Genomic DNA, 18,559 nt, shown 5'->3' on the forward strand with positions numbered 1-18,559 from the left:
GAAGGACAGAGCTATAATTTCAGTCCTTTTAAAAGGGGAGAGAAACCTGAAAACAATGAGACACAGTAAAAGTTGAACTTTGCATAAAAAAATTATAAAGTCCTGTAATTTTATTAAGAGTAAAGCAATACCTTAAGAAAATCTCATTATTCTAACCAATTATTTAGTGTATAAGTGGGGTTTTAAAAATATTAAATATAGACAACTTGATCATATAAAATTTTTTTTTCTTTTCATAAACCTTCTTATTATGACTTACACAGACATTGGGCATGGTTGTCCTGAACATCCCTCTTTCTTTAACAACCAGTCATTTTATTTTAGGACAAAAATTTACCATATAAGATTCTTTTGCATGTAAAATTATTTTTCTTTAAGCTTTCTTACCAAAAATACCTCTTTATTTCTATAACTTTCTTTACATCTCTCTTATTTCCAGGTTACTCTTACCTTGTTTTATACATAACCTTTAAAAAAGTTTGAATTAGACAAAAAGTATTCTTCTTTTAACATTTTGGGAGGTTAATTTTGGGAGGAAAGGCAATGAAGAAGATTCTTCAGAATGCACCTCTGAATTAGAATTAGGATACTAAACAACAGCTTCCTAGGAGGAAAAAAAAAAGTGAAGAACACTTCCAGTAACTGTCCTCAGCCAGCTTTAACTTTGTTAGTTTTTGTCCACCATTACACATGCCAAGGTCAAATCCTCTCTCAGTACAAGGTAATCTTTGGTACCCTCTAAAGCCAAAGAGGTCAGGTTATGCAAATACAGGAGAGCAGACCTTTAGACCTAAGAAGAATCTGCCCATCACTCTTGAAACTCTACAAAGAAAACAGAACACCCCAAAAAGGGGCAAGAGGTGCCTGTGTTCTGAGTTCTTTAGGGGGTTTGAGTCATTAGAAGCCTCTTTAGATTTTCCCTGGTATTGAAGATGGTGAAAGGGGAGGAAGGAATAGGGTGAAGAAAAGTAAATGAAAGAACAGTTGTTTTTTAAGACAGAAAGCAAACACAGAAACCAAGCCCCTGTTTTTTTTTTCCCCTTTCTTTTGTAGCTATGAGGAATTTCAGCTAATTCAGACAGACCTTGTTCCCCATAATTTGTAATTCTTATTCAGATTTGACCAAGTCAGGTAGAGTTGGTCAACTCTGGGACCAGAGAGAAAGACCAGAACAAACAACAAAAAACCCCAACAGTATGATTACTGAACACTCTAATGGTAAGGAGAATTAAGACCAGCTGACTGTTAATCACAACTTTATCCAAGACAAAATCCCAATTCAGCTACTTACCAAGGAGTGGGTCTCAGGCTGAAGACAGCTCTCTACCATCCTAGAAGCAGGAAAAAATTCAAACTGGAATTCCCTGTTGGAAGTGAGCTCAAATTACAGAGAGGATTTACCTGCCTTCCATTGTCATGAAAGCAGAAAAACTTGCCTTCCTTGTTGGAAGCAAGTAAAACTCAGAAAAAGAGTTGCACAGCAAAATAAACGTTAGATCTCAACCAAATTTTGGGTGATTGGGGATTCTCTGGAGGGAGGGAAGCTTCCAGGCCTCAGCAAATCGTCCTGTTGGTTTGGGCCATAGAAGCTCAAGCTGGTACCAAGCCCAGTTGGAGATCTGTCAAAGGTCCAGGAGCTACCTCCATGCAGAGTCCCTTCCATTGGTCACCAAATTGTAAACCAAAAGGTATCTGAGATATGTCTTAATACATTTAGAAAGTTTATTTTGCCAAGGTTAAGGACGTGCCTGTGACACAGCTTCATGAGGTCCTGACAAATGTCCTCAAGTAGGTTAGGGTACAGCTTGCTTTTATGCATTTGAGAGAGACATGAGACATCAGTCAGTATGTGTAAGATATACATTGGTTTGGTCCAGCAGGGCAGGACAACTTGAGGTGGGGGGCTTCCAAATTATAAGTAGATAAGAGACAAAAGGTTGCCTTCTTTTGAGTCCTTGATCAGCCTTCCACTGCATACAAAATTTAGTCTGGTTCAGTGAATCTGCATTTTTATATAAACAATAAGGTAGAGGAAGCAATCAGATACGCATGTCTCAGGTGAGCCTCAGTGGGATGACTTTGAGTTCTGTCTGTCCTTTGTCCAGGAGGCATTTCCTTGTGGGCAAATTGTTTGGTAGGTGTGTAGCTTTTTTGAATTTGTAGCTAGCTTATTTAGGAATAAAATGGGAAGCAGGTTTGCCTGACATAGTTTCTAGGTTGACGTTTCCCTTGGCTTAGTGATTTTGTGGTCTCAAGATTTATTTTCCTTTGAAAACTCATAAAAGTAGTATTTTTCTATCATAAAAAATATCCAACCTGTTTTATCATTTTGAAAATGTTAATTTTAATTTGTTTTGTTAATTTTTAAAGGAGAAATTATTTTTCTTTTATAATAAATGCTGTATTTTCTTGAAAACTGTTCCATGAAGTATATGCTTCATTTGTATTACACTAGAGAAATATGTTATTAATTTAACCAAATGCTGAGCAATAAGTCCAGGTGCATGGCTCAAGCCTGTAATCCCAGCAGTTTGGGAGGTCGACGTGGCGAGATCACTTCAGCCCAGGAGTTCCAGACCAGCCTGGATGTCATAACAAAACCCCATCTCTATAAAAAATTTTAAAAATTATCCAGGTTTGGTGGTGTGCGCCTGTAGTCCCAACTACTTGGGAGGCTGAAGTGGGAGGATCACTTGAGCTTGGGAGTTGGAGGTTGTAGTGAGCTAAGATGGTGCCACTGCACTCCAGCCTAGGCAACAGACTGAGATTGTGTCTCAAAGATTGAATTTGCTGAGATTAAAACACCACACACACACACACACACACACACACACACACACACACACAGACAGGTTCACACACTAACATTTCAAAAGATTAAATCTTCCTTTAATTGACTGGGCAAAGGGCTGTCTTTTCTCACCCAACAGGTTAAATACTGCAGAGCTAATAGATTGGAGTGACTTCTGACCTAGTCACATCTTAAAGGAAAACTTTTCAGTTTTTACTTTAAAAGTAAGTTGCCTTTGTTCTTTCTACTGCATAGCTTAGTAGGAAAAAGCAGGTACTGTTTTGTAAAAAAAGATAAAAAGTTCTGTAATGTGCCACATTTTGAGCAGTTTCTTCAGCCTCAAGAATCTCTGGCTTGTTCAAAACATATCTGGGTGACACTGGGAAAGTTAAGACGAGGCTGGAAAGAACCAAAGGAGAGGAATAATTTGACAATAATAATAAAGGGGAAGGAAAAAAGAGTTGATGAAATTTCACCTAAAATGGGATTAACTTATCTTGTTGAATCAAGTTATCTATTTCTGGTCAATATATTTATAAAAAACAATAGTTTAAGAAGTTTCTTAGAAAAAAAATCTTACACAAAAGCTCCTTTCATTCGTGAAAATACTTGTAAATATTTTTGCTTTAGGAGAAAATATGTGCTTTCAGGGATATTACGCTGGTCTCTTAAAAGTTTCCTTAAAATTCTTAGCTTGGAGTCACTGTTACTTGTAACTGGAGGTATTAGTCAGCCTTTGGGTTGGACTTATGAACTATGTACCTTGGAAATGCCACACAACCTACCAAATGTGATGAGGATACGAGGGCAATCAACTTGGGGCCTACCGCTCATGTGGAAATTTGCTTTTCATTTTTCATGTTAAAGAATGATTCCCACATTATGTACAGAAGTAATTTAGAACACTAAAATTATCTCAGTATCCTGAGGCTTCCTGAGGCTGGAGGCCATTTTCAGTATTGTAACAAAGTTTAGTAGTTTTGAGTGAGGTCTGTAGAGAAATGGAGACTGAGGAGGTGCCTTGTGAATGACTTAGATTTGGGACTCCCTTTGGTCCTCCCCCTTTGGTAATGTTATGGTTTGCTTTCACCAAAGTTATAGTCTTGCCTTTTTCAATATTTGTCCATATTTCTGAATTTTTAAAAATATTTATGATAATAATTTATATTCAAAATCTATAACAATTTTAATGGTAAGAGGATTGTATCTAAATTCAGTTCTTAATTCCATTGAGATAATATATACATAAACTCACAGGAAATGGGAATTCCAAAAGGTAGATTCTGAAGGCAGTGTCTTGACTGACTTCTATATCTGTTATGATTCTCTAGAGAGAAAGCATTTATCATGGAAATAAAGCGTTTGTTGTGGAAAAGAAGAGCTGAGGACTAAGCCAAGAAATTTGGCTCTTTTTTTTTTTTTTTCCTGTCTGATACTCTCCTCTCCTTACCTCAAAAATCCTAATCTTCCCATAACATCATGTTGTATACCTTAAATATACTCAGTAAAATTTATTTGAAAAAAAATTTCTCAATCATCAACTCCTCTTCCTTGTACAAGAACAAGAATCCCCTGTACAAGCATCCTGGTAGATAATGTGTGGAGAGGTTTATGGTTATTTGTCTTTCCTCACTGAAGGGAAGCTGAGATTCAAGTTTGTTCTGGCAAACTATTTTCTAACATTAAAATTGTATTTGTTTCCACTTTTTATTTGAGAAACAGTATGATAGTTGGATGAAAGAAAATTAGAAGATCAGAAATACATAATGGACACTCAGAAAATACAAATATTCTTTCATATTTTTGAATATTTTTAATTCCTTAAGCATGCACTTACATGTTTTTGTATACTTCAACTGTGTGTATTTTTGTATTTTATTTCACTTTGTATTTTAGGCAAACTTATTTACATGTTGCATCATTATCTTTGTAACTAGTTCTGATATCTGCATACATTCTTTCAGGATGAAATACCGTATTTAAGCATTTCTTATCATTGGTATTGCTTATCAATTGGGTATTGAATTTGCTTTTTATTTTTTTTCATTTCATAGATGCTACAATACATAGTGGTGAATACTACACATGTGAATATCTACACGTAGCTACATAATTTTTATTACAAAATCATTTTGAACTTATCCTTAGACAAGGGATTCCTAGTTCAAAGGATTTAGCTAGCATGTGTTCCAGTGATAAAACGCCTTTACAACAGGAATAAGAGCTTAAGTAGAATTTTAGATATATTCAGAATTTTAAGTTTCTAAATCTATTTTGAGAGAAAATAATCTTTTTTTTTTTTCAAAGGGATGCTAATGACTAGCCAATGCTCTAGGAAGACATTGAGACCAGCCAACTTCTTGCCTTGATAACTACTGAAGAGACATTGGGTGGCTGGATTTTGAAAGCAGACTTCTGGGTAAGTGTCATTGTTTGGGTTTGGGGGATAGCAAAGACTTAGCAGAAGTGCTTTAAGAAGGAATTATCTGCACAATGAGCAAGGAAGACACTTAAAAATGCAACTTTAATAGGTGTAAATTGAATATAGAGCTTAGGAATACTAGTGGAGAGATAAGGTCAGGCATTATTACCTGGGGTTAAATTAGTTAAGATTTTCCGGGAGGATAAGGTTCTCTATTAGGGTACCTATGTATTTATTTTTTATTTTGTAATAGTATCTTTTTCATTAAAAGACATTTAAATTTAATTTTATTTTAGATTAAGGGTTACATGTTCAAGTGTGTAACATGAATATATTGCATAATGGTAGGGTTTGGGCTTCTAGTGTACCCATCACCCAGATTGTGACCAATGTACCCAATAGGTAATTTTTCAATCCTCATCCCCCTCCCAACCTGCTCCCTTTCAGAGTGCCCAGTGTCTACTGCTTCCATCTTTATGTCCATGAGTACTCATTGTTTAGTTCTCATTTAAAAGTGAGAACATGCAGTATTTTTCTGTGTCTGAGTTAGTTCATTTAGGATAATGACCTCCAGCTCTATCCATGTTGCTTCAAAGGGCATGATTTTATTATTTTTTTATGGCTGCATAGTATTCCATAGTGTATATATACCAAATTTTCTTTTTCCAATCCACCAATGAGGAACACTTAGGTTGATTCCATGACTTTGCTCTTGTGAATAGTGCTACAATGAAGATTTGAGTGAAGCTGTCTTTTTTATATAACGATTTCTTTTCCTTTGAGTAGATAGCCAATAGTGGGATTGCGAGGATGATTGGTAGTTCTATTTTTAGTCCTTTGGGAAATCTCCATGCTGTTTTCCCTAGAGGTTGTACTAATTTACATTTCCACCAGAAGTGTATAAGTGTGTCCTTTTTTCTGCATCCATGACAACATTTTTTTTGACTTTTTAGTAATAGCCATTCTGACTGGTGTAAGATGATATCTCATTGCAGTTTAGACTTGCATTTCTCTGGTAGTTAGTGATGTTGAGCATTTTCTCATACATTTATTGGCCTCTTGTATGTCTTCTTTTGAAAAATGCCTGTTAGTGTCCTTTGCCCACTTTTTAATTGGGTTGTTTGTTTTCTTCTTCAATTTCGTTTGAGTTCCTCATAGATTCTGGGTATTAATCCTTTGTCATAGGCACAATTAGCAAACATTTTGTCCCATTCTGTAGGTTGTCTGTTTACTCTGTTGATGATCTCTTTTGCTGTGCAGATGCTTTTTAGTTTAATAAAGTCCAGTTTGTTCCATTTTTGTTTTTGTTGCATTTGCTTTTGGGGTCTTAGTCATAAATTAGTCTGTCTAATAACTTAGTCTGTCTAGGCAAATGTCAGCTTTTCTCTGTAAACAGGTAAAGTTCTCTATTAGATACTTCAAACAAAAAGAAGACGTTATTCTTGATGCTAACTTCTAGGTCTAATCCTCAATTTTGTGCCAATTCTCTGTTCCAAGGCTTTGCATTAGATTTATGCTGAGGAAAAATATTTCATTGAGTAAAATTTCAAGCATAGAAGTGTCCATTCTTTTTTGAAGACTTCTATGGGTAGAGACGTTCTCAATAGGCTCATTCTGCCCCATGTTTTTCTTTTTCTTTTTCCTTTCTTTCTTGAGACAGAGTCTCATTCTGTCACCAAGGCTGAAGTACAGTGGTGCTATCTCAGCTCCCTGCAACCTCTGCCTCCCAGGTTCAAGTGATTCTCCTGCCTCAGGCTCCTGAGTAGCTGGGATTACAGAAGCCTACCACCATGCTTGGCTAATTTTTGTATTTCTAGTGGAGATGAGGTTTCACCACGTTGGTCAGGCTGGTCTCAAACTCCTGACCTCAGGTGATCCACCTGCCTTGGCCTTCCAAAGTGCTCGGATTACAGGCATGAGCCATCATGCCCAGCTCCCCATCTTTTTCTTACATAAAATGAACACGTGGAAATAGATTTAAATGTTAATTTCAATAAGGTTAGCTTACTCCTTCCCTGAGATACAGGGAAAGCTAATCCTTTATTCCATTTCCTTTTCCCTGTCCCTGCCATTCAGGCATTAGTATTGATGGTTGGTATTTAAAAGCAATTAGTTTTTCCCCCTAATATTATTTTAGGTGAAGATTATCTAGGTCCTGAATAAAGAAGTTTATAAATATTTAAACTACAAGAATATTTAGCTACTTTATATGTTCTAAACATGAGGGAAAATTCATTATCTTCAAAACATGAGACTATAATAGTCCTTATGATTTTATTTTATTCTGACTATGGTGATCTCTTTAGAGTCATTTATTTTTCAGCAATGGGAATGACTGGATAATTTGCTATGGTAAGGACACATGTTCCTGGGAAGAATAGTATAATTCTTGTTATAATTTCATATAGCAGTGTACTACTAATCTAATTAAAAAGAAAGTTTCCAATTCCCTCCTAGAATCACAGAACATTTAACTATATCTTCTTGCAGGTAATTTTTGCAAATACTAAATGCTGAGTATATACATAATTTAATTTCTTGACCTTTGCCCAGACCATTTTATTGTACCACTTTTGTGGTTTAATACAGCTAAAGTATGTGCTACAACACTTCACTTTGTCACAATCAGAATCACAACACAATCTTACTTATCAAATGCTATAAAAAGATGAAAATCTACATATTGCTTTTCTTAAGTTAGGCTAGAACTGATCCTTTTAGTAGAAAATACAAAGTAGTAAAATGTTTTATTAACTTTAGGCATGGGAGTACATTATTGTAAGATGTGATCGAGCAGCGTACCAAGGAGCCTTTCAGCTTGTTTGGTAGAAGTTTTTGGTTGATTCAATAAATTCAACCAAACTGTTGATTTACTACTTCTGGCAGAAGTGAGTTTGCTCCCCTTTGAAAAAAAAAAAAAAAGTGAAAAAAGAGAAAAAAAGAAAGAAAGAGAAAAATGAAATTTCACAATTCTATGAAAGGTTGTTTTAGTATATGGCAGACCGCTAGAAAGTGGTCTTTCAAGAAGCAAGAAACAGAATGAGAGGATCAACTTGGAATTTATTTTCCTTCAATGGGATTTTGCTAAGGCATTGCTTGGTACAGCATTCTGTACAACCAGAAAGGCAAAAGGAAAATAGCTACATTCTCCTCTCTGTAGGCCCAGTAGTGATTTGGGAAGATGAGAAAAATGTTAACTAGTATAGAGTTTGTATCATACATGAGAGGAAATAATTTCATAGATTCAAACACAGGAGTAGATCCTCCATCTTCTAAAATGAAATTAAACCCCCTGCACTTAAAGTTGAGAACTTGGTGAAGCTTACATTCTTTATTATGAAATGCATCATAACAATGTATTCTGTATTTCTTTTTCAGTTATAGGTGATGCAACTTGAAAAACAATCCTGAAACATGAAACAAGAATAATAATATTTAAATGTAACTTAATCATTATACCTCTTTATCCATCAAAGTGAATTCATTCCATTCCCTTTCATCTGTGCTCATACTTTGCATCAGATATTGGGTAAACCAAAGTGTGTAGGAAGAAATAAATGTTTTCATAGTCATTACTCTTTACAATGGGAGTGCTAAAATTCAAGCACATCTTTTTCAGAAGCTTTGTTAAATCAAGTGGAGTATCCCAGATAGTTTTCACCTTCCTTCTGATTCCATGTTGCTTGACTCTGAATTTCAGAGCACCTCCTGTTATTCCAAATGTGCCTTTCCTCTGGGCCTGGAATGCCCCAAGTGAATTTTGTCTTGGAAAATTTGATGAGCCACTAGATATGAGCCTCTTCTCTTTCATAGGAAGCCCCCGAATAAACGCCACCGGGCAAGGTGTTACAATATTTTATGTTGATAGACTTGGCTACTATCCTTACATAGATTCAATCACAGGAGTAACTGTGAATGGAGGAATCCCCCAGAAGATTTCCTTACAAGACCATCTGGACAAAGCTAAGAAAGACATTACATTTTATATGCCAGTAGACAATTTGGGAATGGCTGTTATTGACTGGGAAGAATGGAGACCCACTTGGGCAAGAAACTGGAAACCTAAAGATGTTTACAAGAATAGGTCTATTGAATTGGTTCAGCAACAAAATGTACAACTTAGTCTCACAGAGGCCACTGAGAAAGCAAAACAAGAATTTGAAAAGGCAGGGAAGGATTTCCTGGTAGAGACTATAAAATTGGGAAAATTACTTCGGCCAAATCACTTGTGGGGTTATTATCTTTTTCCGGATTGTTACAACCATCACTATAAGAAACCCGGTTACAATGGAAGTTGCTTCAATGTAGAAATAAAAAGAAATGATGATCTCAGCTGGTTGTGGAATGAAAGCACTGCTCTTTACCCATCCATTTATTTGAACACTCAGCAGTCTCCTGTAGCTGCTACACTCTATGTGCGCAATCGAGTTCGGGAAGCCATCAGAGTTTCCAAAATACCTGATGCAAAAAGTCCACTTCCGGTTTTTGCATATACCCGCATAGTTTTTACTGATCAAGTTTTGAAATTCCTTTCTCAAGTAAGTAAATCAGGGTATGAGGGCTAGGAAATGAAATTCACAAAAGATGTTGATTGAAATTTAATATTATTTTTGAAGGGAGTGAAATCTAGCTTTTAATATTAGTCAGGAATGTGTACACAAGTAGATCAACATTATTATATGAATGCAAAACAAGAATACGCTTAATCTTTAATGTAATCTCTTTATCTCTTAGTAAGCCGGGAGAATTAGGTAGTATAGACAGTGTATGAACTCAGTTTCTTTTTTTTTTCTTTCTTAGGCCTCGTCTCTTTTCAATAGAAGTGATTGAAACAATAATAGTATCTTATTTGTTTTATAGTAAGGCAATGGCTGTGTAAGAGATAGAAATAGTGGGGAAATATTAAAATTATTATTATTGGGTCAGCATGCTTAGCTTTTGCGTTGCTGTCCTATGTATAGCACTTTCATTTCATTTTTATCTGCTAACTCTTTCTGTCACATTTTCCAGGATGAACTTGTGTATACATTTGGCGAAACTGTTGCTCTGGGTGCTTCTGGAATTGTAATATGGGGAACCCTCAGTATAATGCGAAGTATGGTAAGTTGAATTGGTAGAAAATAGGTGAAAATATTTCTATGTTTAATGTTTTTGGGGATTGTTTTGGTATTAAATAAGAAAATAAGTAGTACTATGCTTGGCATGTAGTAATAGGTGCTCAATTAATACTGGCTGAATCAAAATACATTTGTGTGGTGGTTGTAAGGCAGAAAATAGTATACCCATTTTCCAGTGGGGAAATAGAAATTTAGTGAATAATTGAATTTCTCTAGGCTACATGACTATTAAGAAGCAAAAACAGGACTACAATCTCAATTTTATGGCATGGTGTTTTGTGTCAGAAGATAGGTCCTTGTTCCTTTACTCTTGTTTAATTCTCTATATCAGATCTTTATCCCCCACCTCATCAACCTTGTTGACTCAATAGGAAAGCTGTTGTATGGACATTGCTGAGTTGAAGCTGAATTTTTTCTTCTCTGGTGGTTGTGGAAATACCAATGATGAACATGCCATGAAGAATGCCAGATGAAGCTCATGGCCCAAGGGTCCTATCTCAGGACCTCAGCGAATAGTCTATACTCTAGTAGTCTAAGAAAGCCTTTGAGAAGCATTATATTCATCTCTTATTCTTTGGATAGAATAGACATGACATAGTCTTTATTTAAAAATACTCAACAGCAGTTACATTTATGAGAATTTTTTAAGGTAATCTGAGCCCATCTGCCTATTTTGCATAACTCTTTTGTCTTTAATTTGATCTCTAATATAAAGAAATAACAAAAAATATAAGTTCAGAAGAAGGTATATGGCCCTTGGTAAAGTATTTTATGTGTCAGAAAATCATTGTAAAATGATAATTTTCTTTAGTAAATTCTTAATTTTTATTAGTTGTTTCCCCAAATCCATAAACTCCCTTCTCAAATGTCCTATTATTTAAAAACTTATAAATATTTATAAATTCTCCATACTATTTTCTTTTCTTTTTAAAAAAACTGAAAGCTCCACTCTTACTCTGAGGAGGAGTGAATCAGGCATTCCTCAATGAATAGGTTGACATGACATACTATTTAAGTGTCATGCTTGTTTTTTAATGGCACTTTAAGCTTAGATTCAAATTCTACTACTATGTCTCTCAAATCATCTTCAGTATTATCCATACCAGAGACAGTCCTTCAACTTTTATATGATTATTTTCTCCTTAATGGCATTGTCCCAAAATTGTTCCCTATAGACTCTGTTGTATATATTTCTGCTATCTTTCTCAACTTCTGATCATTTTAAATAATAGATCTATCATTACTTCCCCTTTTTTCTATGCCATTTGTAATCAATAGTCATGGATTACATGTTATGTTTTCTCTGATTCATTGACAACTTAAGAAACCGATAATTGCAAGTTTACTTGCAGTTACTGGAACTGACATAAAACAAATGCAAATGAGCCATTTCTTTTCGTTCCATTTTATTATATCTGGTGGTGTGACAGAGCCAGCCCTACTGCTCCCAGCTGAGACCTAATTGTTAAATATTCAGGGATTTTGTGAACCAGTTGTTAATCACTGCCATTATTAAAAATTAAATGATAAAAACTTACAATAAAAAATTATGTTAAAAACAGGTGACACATTTCAATATACCAATTATTTTACCTCATTTTACCATGATCCATGCTCTTGAGATTATTTACATCTTTTGCATCTTTATAAATGGAAATACTATGTAATAATGTGCTACTTCACACCATGGTACCATAATGTGTAATGGTGGTGTACTTGATTCCCAGATCTGCATTCAGTAATGTTTGGGAGGTAGCTTGAAATTGGCCATGGCAGGAGTATTTACACTATGGATATATATACAAATGATAAGAACCAGGTCTTACCTATTAGAGAGCCAATTTTAATGTATTTCCATAGACTACAAAGTATGCAGGTTAATGATTCTCAAGCCATTCTCATCCTTTTACTACTCTTTGTGTAACCCTTGTCTCTGTGGAGTTGAGAAAGCAACTGCAATGTTATTTGAACTTGGTATAAATTCTCATGTCCCTTATATTGGGAACATAGTGTTGAAGAATATTGACAAAGTCTATGTACTCTTGGAACTTATGAGTACTTAAAAAGTACACAAGTAAGAGACATATTTGATATGGTAAGTGCTATACAGAGAATTTAAACAGAGATATGGAGAGTTTAACAAGGAAGTTATCAGAGAAGGGCATTGTCTAATTTAAAGCTGCCATCAGAATGACAAGATGAAGTCAATTGTGTTAAAAATTAGAGGAAAGACCATTCCAAGCAGTGGGAACAGTAAATGCAGTTTGAAATGAACCTGCCGTGCTAGTGAAATAGCTACTATATCTAAGGTAGAATGGATGTGGGAAGGTTGTACAAGAGGAAGCAAGGGTTATACAATGTCACACTGTGCACAAGTCAAGAGAAGAAGTTGAATTTCATTCAAAACACCATTCAAAAATATTGGATTGTTACGAAGATGGATGGTGTATTAGTTTTCTATTGCTTTCATAAAAATTACAACAGACTTAGTGGGTTAAAAAAACAGAAGAAATTTGTTATCTTGTAGTTCTCAGATCAGAAGAAGTCCAATATGGGTTTCAATGGAATAAAATCAAAGTGACAGCAGGGCTGAATTCCTTTCTAGGAGAAGATACTTTCTCATTTGGGTTGTTGGCAGATTCACTTTCTTGTGCTTATAGCAATGAGATCCCCATTATCTGGCTGGCTACTGGCAAATGGCTATTTCCAGCTTTTAGAGGCCAGTACATTCCTTAGCTCATGGCCCTCTTCTTTCTTAAAGTCAGCCAAGGTGGGTTGAATCTCTCTTACACTTTGAATCTCTCCTTCCTTCAGTTTATCTTTCTAACCCTGCTTGAAAAGTTTCTATACTTTCAAGGACTCATGTAATTACATTGAGTCCATCTTGATAATTCAGGATAATCTCCCCTTCTGAAGATCCATTCCTTAATCACATCTGCAAAGTCTCTTTTGTCACATAAGTTCACATTGTCACAGGTTCCAGGGAATTAGGATGCAGACATTTTTGGGTATCAGTTATTCTGCCAACAATAGATGGCATCATCTCAAGGAAGATGAAAAGAAATATATTCAGATGGAAGCTGCCAAGATTCCTTCACATGCCTGCATATCTACCACTGCCACTTCCTTTGGCCTGATAAAGTATTAGCACAACCACCTCACTCAATGGAACTGTTGATTATGAAAAAAAGTGATCAACTTCAATATTTCTCAAAGGACAGTGTCCAGGGTTTAGAACATACCAGTCTCAAGATGAAGATGAATCATTTTAGTTAGTCATCGCTCATACTCTGCCAAATTTGTAAAAGAGTTGTCATTATTTACCCATAACTTGACTATATATAACATTTAATAGAAAGTATAGTCAGTTGAACCCGTTTAATGTATTCGAGCCAGCAATTTATAAGCCATCCTTTTCCATGCTATTTAAACTTGTCTGGCAGGTGAGGCATGGTGGATCATGCCTGTAATCCCAACACTGTGGAAGGATGGGGTGGGAGGATTGCTTGAGCCCAAGAGTTCAAGACCAGCCTGGGCAACATAGTAAGACCTCACTTCTACCACAAAAGAAAACCAAAATTAGACAGATCTCGTGGCATGTGCCTATAGTTCCAGCTACTCAGGGGGCCAAGGCAGGAGGATTGCTTGAACCCAGGAGATCAAAGGTGCAGTGAGCCAAGACTGCACCACTGTACTCCAGCCTGGGCAACAGAGTAAGACTTTGTCTCAGGAAAAAAAAAAAAATTGTCTGACAAATGTGGTGCTTCTTACATTTATTTATAATTTATTGAGGGTCAACTGAAGATATGGTAGGCCCCTGTGTTAAGCACATTTATATGTATTTTTCTTTTTTATCTATTTTTATAACAACTTTATGAGGTAGGCATCATAATTATCCTTATTTTCCAGATGGTAAAGCTGAAGCATAATCAAGTTAATCAATTTGCCCAAAGTCACCCAGATAGGAAACTAAGACTTAGAAAGCTTAAGAAATTCCCAAGTTCCTACAGCTAGTCACCAATGGAACTGGGACTCCAATCAGGGCAAATGTCCTAGAGAACATACTCTAACACACTTTAACAGCTGTAGCATTCTATCCCCTGATTATGTTATGAATTACAGAGGACGAGCAAGGGTAAGGAATACTAAGCCTCAATTAGTCAATTATTCAGTGGAATGAAGTGGCATGTGAAACTTATAAGTCTTACAAAAAGCAGTTGGAATAATCTTGTTGGTTAAGGTAAAAAAGAAATTATCTTCTACTTCTTGCTATCTCTGGTTTTCATTCTTCTGTAAAAAAATTGCTTAATACACTAAATTAATTCGCATTTGAACTAACTTGTCCTTTGATATTCTGACTGTCTTATAATAATTTTACAGAAATCTTGCTTGCTCCTAGACAATTACATGGAGACTATACTGAATCCTTACATAATCAACGTCACACTAGCAGCCAAAATGTGTAGCCAAGTGCTTTGCCAGGAGCAAGGAGTGTGTATAAGGAAAAACTGGAATTCAAGTGACTATCTTCACCTCAACCCAGATAATTTTGCTATTCAACTTGAGAAAGGTGGAAAGTTCACAGTACGTGGAAAACCGACACTTGAAGACCTGGAGCAATTTTCTGAAAAATTTTATTGCAGCTGTTATAGCACCTTGAGTTGTAAGGAGAAAGCTGATGTAAAAGACACTGATGCTGTTGATGTGTGTATTGCTGATGGTGTCTGTATAGATGCTTTTCTAAAACCTCCCATGGAGACAGAAGAACCTCAAATTTTCTACAATGCTTCACCCTCCACACTATCTGCCACAATGTTCATTGTTAGTATTTTGTTTCTTATCATTTCTTCTGTAGCGAGTTTGTAATTGCGCAGGTTAGCTGAAATGAACAATATGTCCATCTTAAAGTGTGCTTTTTCGACTAATTAAATCTTTGAAAAGAACAGCTCTTGTTGAAAGATCATTTTTGGAAAGTTCTTTCTGAATAACTATACCTAGGAAATGACGATTTTCTTTGAACTTGACAAACACTGCTATATTGTATGAATTCTCAACCATGAGTTCAGGGATTTGTATTCCAGGAGTCAATAGCTTATGTAAATTCTGCAGTTTAGAGTACAGAAACTCATATTATCTGTTTCACTTGCAAAACTGCCAGGATTGTTTTAACACTATCATTCTGCACAAGATACTGACATTTTGATAAAATAAAACTTGATATAGAATGTTTAAGAACTCGAAAGTGAAAACCCTTTCAATACAAGCCATCAGTAACATGTAGAGTGCTTGGATATTTCTATTTCTCCTCTGCTCAGAATCAAGAGAGAGAGGGAGAAGGAAAAAGTTTGGGTGGAAAAGAAGAAAACAAAAGGAGGGAAGAGATAAGGGAAAAGAATTAGTATTTTTTTGCTTTCTCTGGTGCCACTGAAGACTCTAATTTGCACAGGATCGAAAGGAATACTTTCAGTGTATACAATTAACCTTCGACTCTCTTTTAAAGCGCAGAGCAGTTGTACCTAAATTCCTTACCTAGTCTGACCTGTACAAATATTACTACCGCCTCCTTCCTTTCCCCATACCCCCCTAGAAACAAAAAGAGATGAAACCACATATTCCAAATCCATTCGGCTAGGTACTCTCAAATTATGGCACAAGTCATTAGGATCTTAATTTTTTTGCGGCATTACATTTTCCGTGAAAAAAAAGGAAAATGTTTTACTTGTTACAGATCTCATTTCTTTATGTTTAAGCTTTGTTTAATATCTGAAATGAGACTGAGCTCTAAAAAGCAATAAAAATAATTCAAATTATTATTATGCATTTTTTAAAAATTAAAAAAATTATTATACATTTTTAAGGTTGAAGTTTTTAAAATTGAACCACTTGTATAGTCTTTTACATTATGTTATCTTAAAATCTTTTTTATTTTTTTCTCTTTTAATTTTAGTTGACATGTACTAATTGTACATATTTATGGGGTAGAGAGTAATATTTTGATACATGCATACAATGTGTAATGATCATGGTAATAAGGATAACCAGTACCTCAAACATTTCTTTGTGTTGGGAACATGTAAGATTCTCTCTTCTAGCTTTTTGAACATATGCAATGTTATTGCTAATTATAGTCACCCCCCAGTGCTATAGAACACTAGGATTTATTCCTCCCCTTTAGCTGTATTGTACCCATTATCTGGCCTCTCCCTATCCTTCTCTCCTCCCATCCTTCCTACTCTCTAATAATCATAACAATAATTCCTCTCTCTGTGATTTCAATTTTTTTAGCTCTCACATATGAGTGAGAACATGAGATGCTTGTCTTTCTGTGCTTGCCTTATTTCCCATAAGATAATGGCCTCTAGTTCCATCCATGTTGTTGCAACAAACAAAATGACTCCATTTTTCTTATGACTGAGTAGTATTCCGTTGTGTATATACACCACATTTTTTTAATCCATTCATCTGTTGATGGACATTTAGACTGACTCCATACCTTGGCCATTGTGAATAGTGCTGCAATAAACACGGGATGCAGATATCTCTTTGATATATACTGATTTTTTTCCTTTGCTGTATCCTATATGTATTGCTGTATCCTATGTGTATTAGTCCATTTTCACGCTGCTGATTAAGACATATCCAAGACTAGGTAATTTATAAAGGAAAAGAAGTTTAATGGATTCTTAGTTCCGCATGGCTGGGGAGGTCTCACAATCATGGTGAAAGGCGAAAGCCACTTCTTACATGGTAGCAGCAAGAGACAATGAGAGACAAGGGAAAGGGGAAACCCCTTATGAAATCATCAGGTCTTGAGAGACTTATTCACTACCACGAGAACAGTAGGGGGGAAATCTGTCACCGTGATTCAATTATCTCCCACTCGATCCCTCCCACAACACGTGGGAATTATGGGAGCTACAAATCAAGATGAGATTTGAGTGGGCTCACAGCCAAAGCATATCACTATGGTAGTTCTATTTTTAGTTTTCTAAGAAACCTCCATACTGTTTTTCATAATGGCTGGACTAATTTACATTCTCACCAAGAGTTCCCTTTTCCCACATCCTTGCCAGTGCTTGCTGTTTTTTGTCTTTTGATAACAGCAATTCTAACTGGGGTGAAGGATATCTTATTGTGGTTTTGATTTGCGTTTCCCTGATGATTAGTAAAGATGAGTATTTTTTTCATAGACCCCTTGGTCACTTGTATGTTTTGACAGCTGTCTACTCAGATCCTTCAGCAATTTTTTGATTAGGTTGTTTTTTGCTGTTGAATTGTTTGAGTTCCTTGTATATTTTATATATTAATCAATTGTCAGATGCATAGTTTCCAAATATTTTCTCCCATTCTACAGATTTTTGCTTTACTCTGTTCATTGCTTTTCCTTTGCCATGCAGAAGCTTTTTAGTTTGTTATAGTCCCATTTGCCTATTTTTGTTTTTGTTACCTGTACTTTCATAGTTTTACCCATAAAATCTTTGCCTTGACCAATGTCCTGTAATGTTTTCTCAATATTTTCTTCCAGTAGTTTTATAGCTTCAGGTCTTAACATTTAAGTCTTTGATCAATTTTGAGTTGTAAAATTTTTTTTTATTCTATAAAGTCATTGCTGCTCATTATGAAATAATACTAAGTGGAAAACTAGAAGTTTCCTTGTGTCTTCCTTCTACAAGTGGCAACTTCTGGTTTCAGTTTTTTTGTACATAATTCTGTAAATTTGCTAATAATATGGAAGCAAATGTGTGTGTATATATACACAAATAACACATTGGGCTCTGGTGCCATAATTTTTGATAACTTGCTTTCCATATAGCAATATATTTTGGGTGTTTGTCCATATCAGTACATTTTTGTACTGACCACATCATGCCATGATACCACTATATGACAATTTTAAAGGAAAGTTCTTGTTAGTGAATATTTATTTTATGGAAACTTTTTTCTCGACCAAAAATTTTATAGTTAATATCATGTACATATATACCTTGGCATACTTTTGCCAGGATGAAATGGAATTGCTGATGTGAAGGGTATATACATTTTAATTTAGATAGATATTGCAAAATTATCTTTCAAAAAATTTTGTTCCAATTAATGATCTCACTAATAGAGATGAACAACACTGGTCTTTATACAATTCTGCAGTCATTGTTCACCTGATAGGTGAAAATGACATCTTGTTTTAACTTGGTTTCTAATCAGTAATGTTGACATTTTTTTCATAGTTTA

General features: G+C 35.3%; 1 protein-coding gene across 5 annotated transcripts in view; it reads left to right on the top strand.

Annotated features, from left to right (window-relative positions):
- The window catches only part of SPAM1 (sperm adhesion molecule 1), a 46,174-nt gene that overhangs the window by 19,533 nt on the left and 8,082 nt on the right, over positions 1–18,559 (top strand). For 3 of the 5 annotated variants that reach the window (NM_001174044.2, NM_153189.3, NM_001174046.2), the window contains exons 2-5: positions 5,099–5,210; positions 8,592–9,751; positions 10,224–10,313; positions 14,711–15,273. In NM_001174044.2, coding sequence (NP_001167515.1) covers positions 8,798–9,751; positions 10,224–10,313; positions 14,711–15,196 — 1,530 coding nt within the window. In that variant the 5' untranslated portion in view covers positions 5,099–5,210; positions 8,592–8,797 and the 3' untranslated portion in view covers positions 15,197–15,273. Of the gene's footprint in view, positions 1–2,930; positions 3,016–5,098; positions 5,211–8,591; positions 9,752–10,223; positions 10,314–14,710; positions 15,274–18,559 lie in introns of those variants that run through there. The other 2 variants (NM_001174045.2, NM_003117.5) reach the window with 2 other exon arrangements.

The sequence above is a fragment of the Homo sapiens genome, chromosome 7, assembly GCF_000001405.40.
Source record: "Homo sapiens chromosome 7, GRCh38.p14 Primary Assembly".
Classification (NCBI taxonomy): domain Eukaryota; kingdom Metazoa; phylum Chordata; class Mammalia; order Primates; family Hominidae; genus Homo; species Homo sapiens.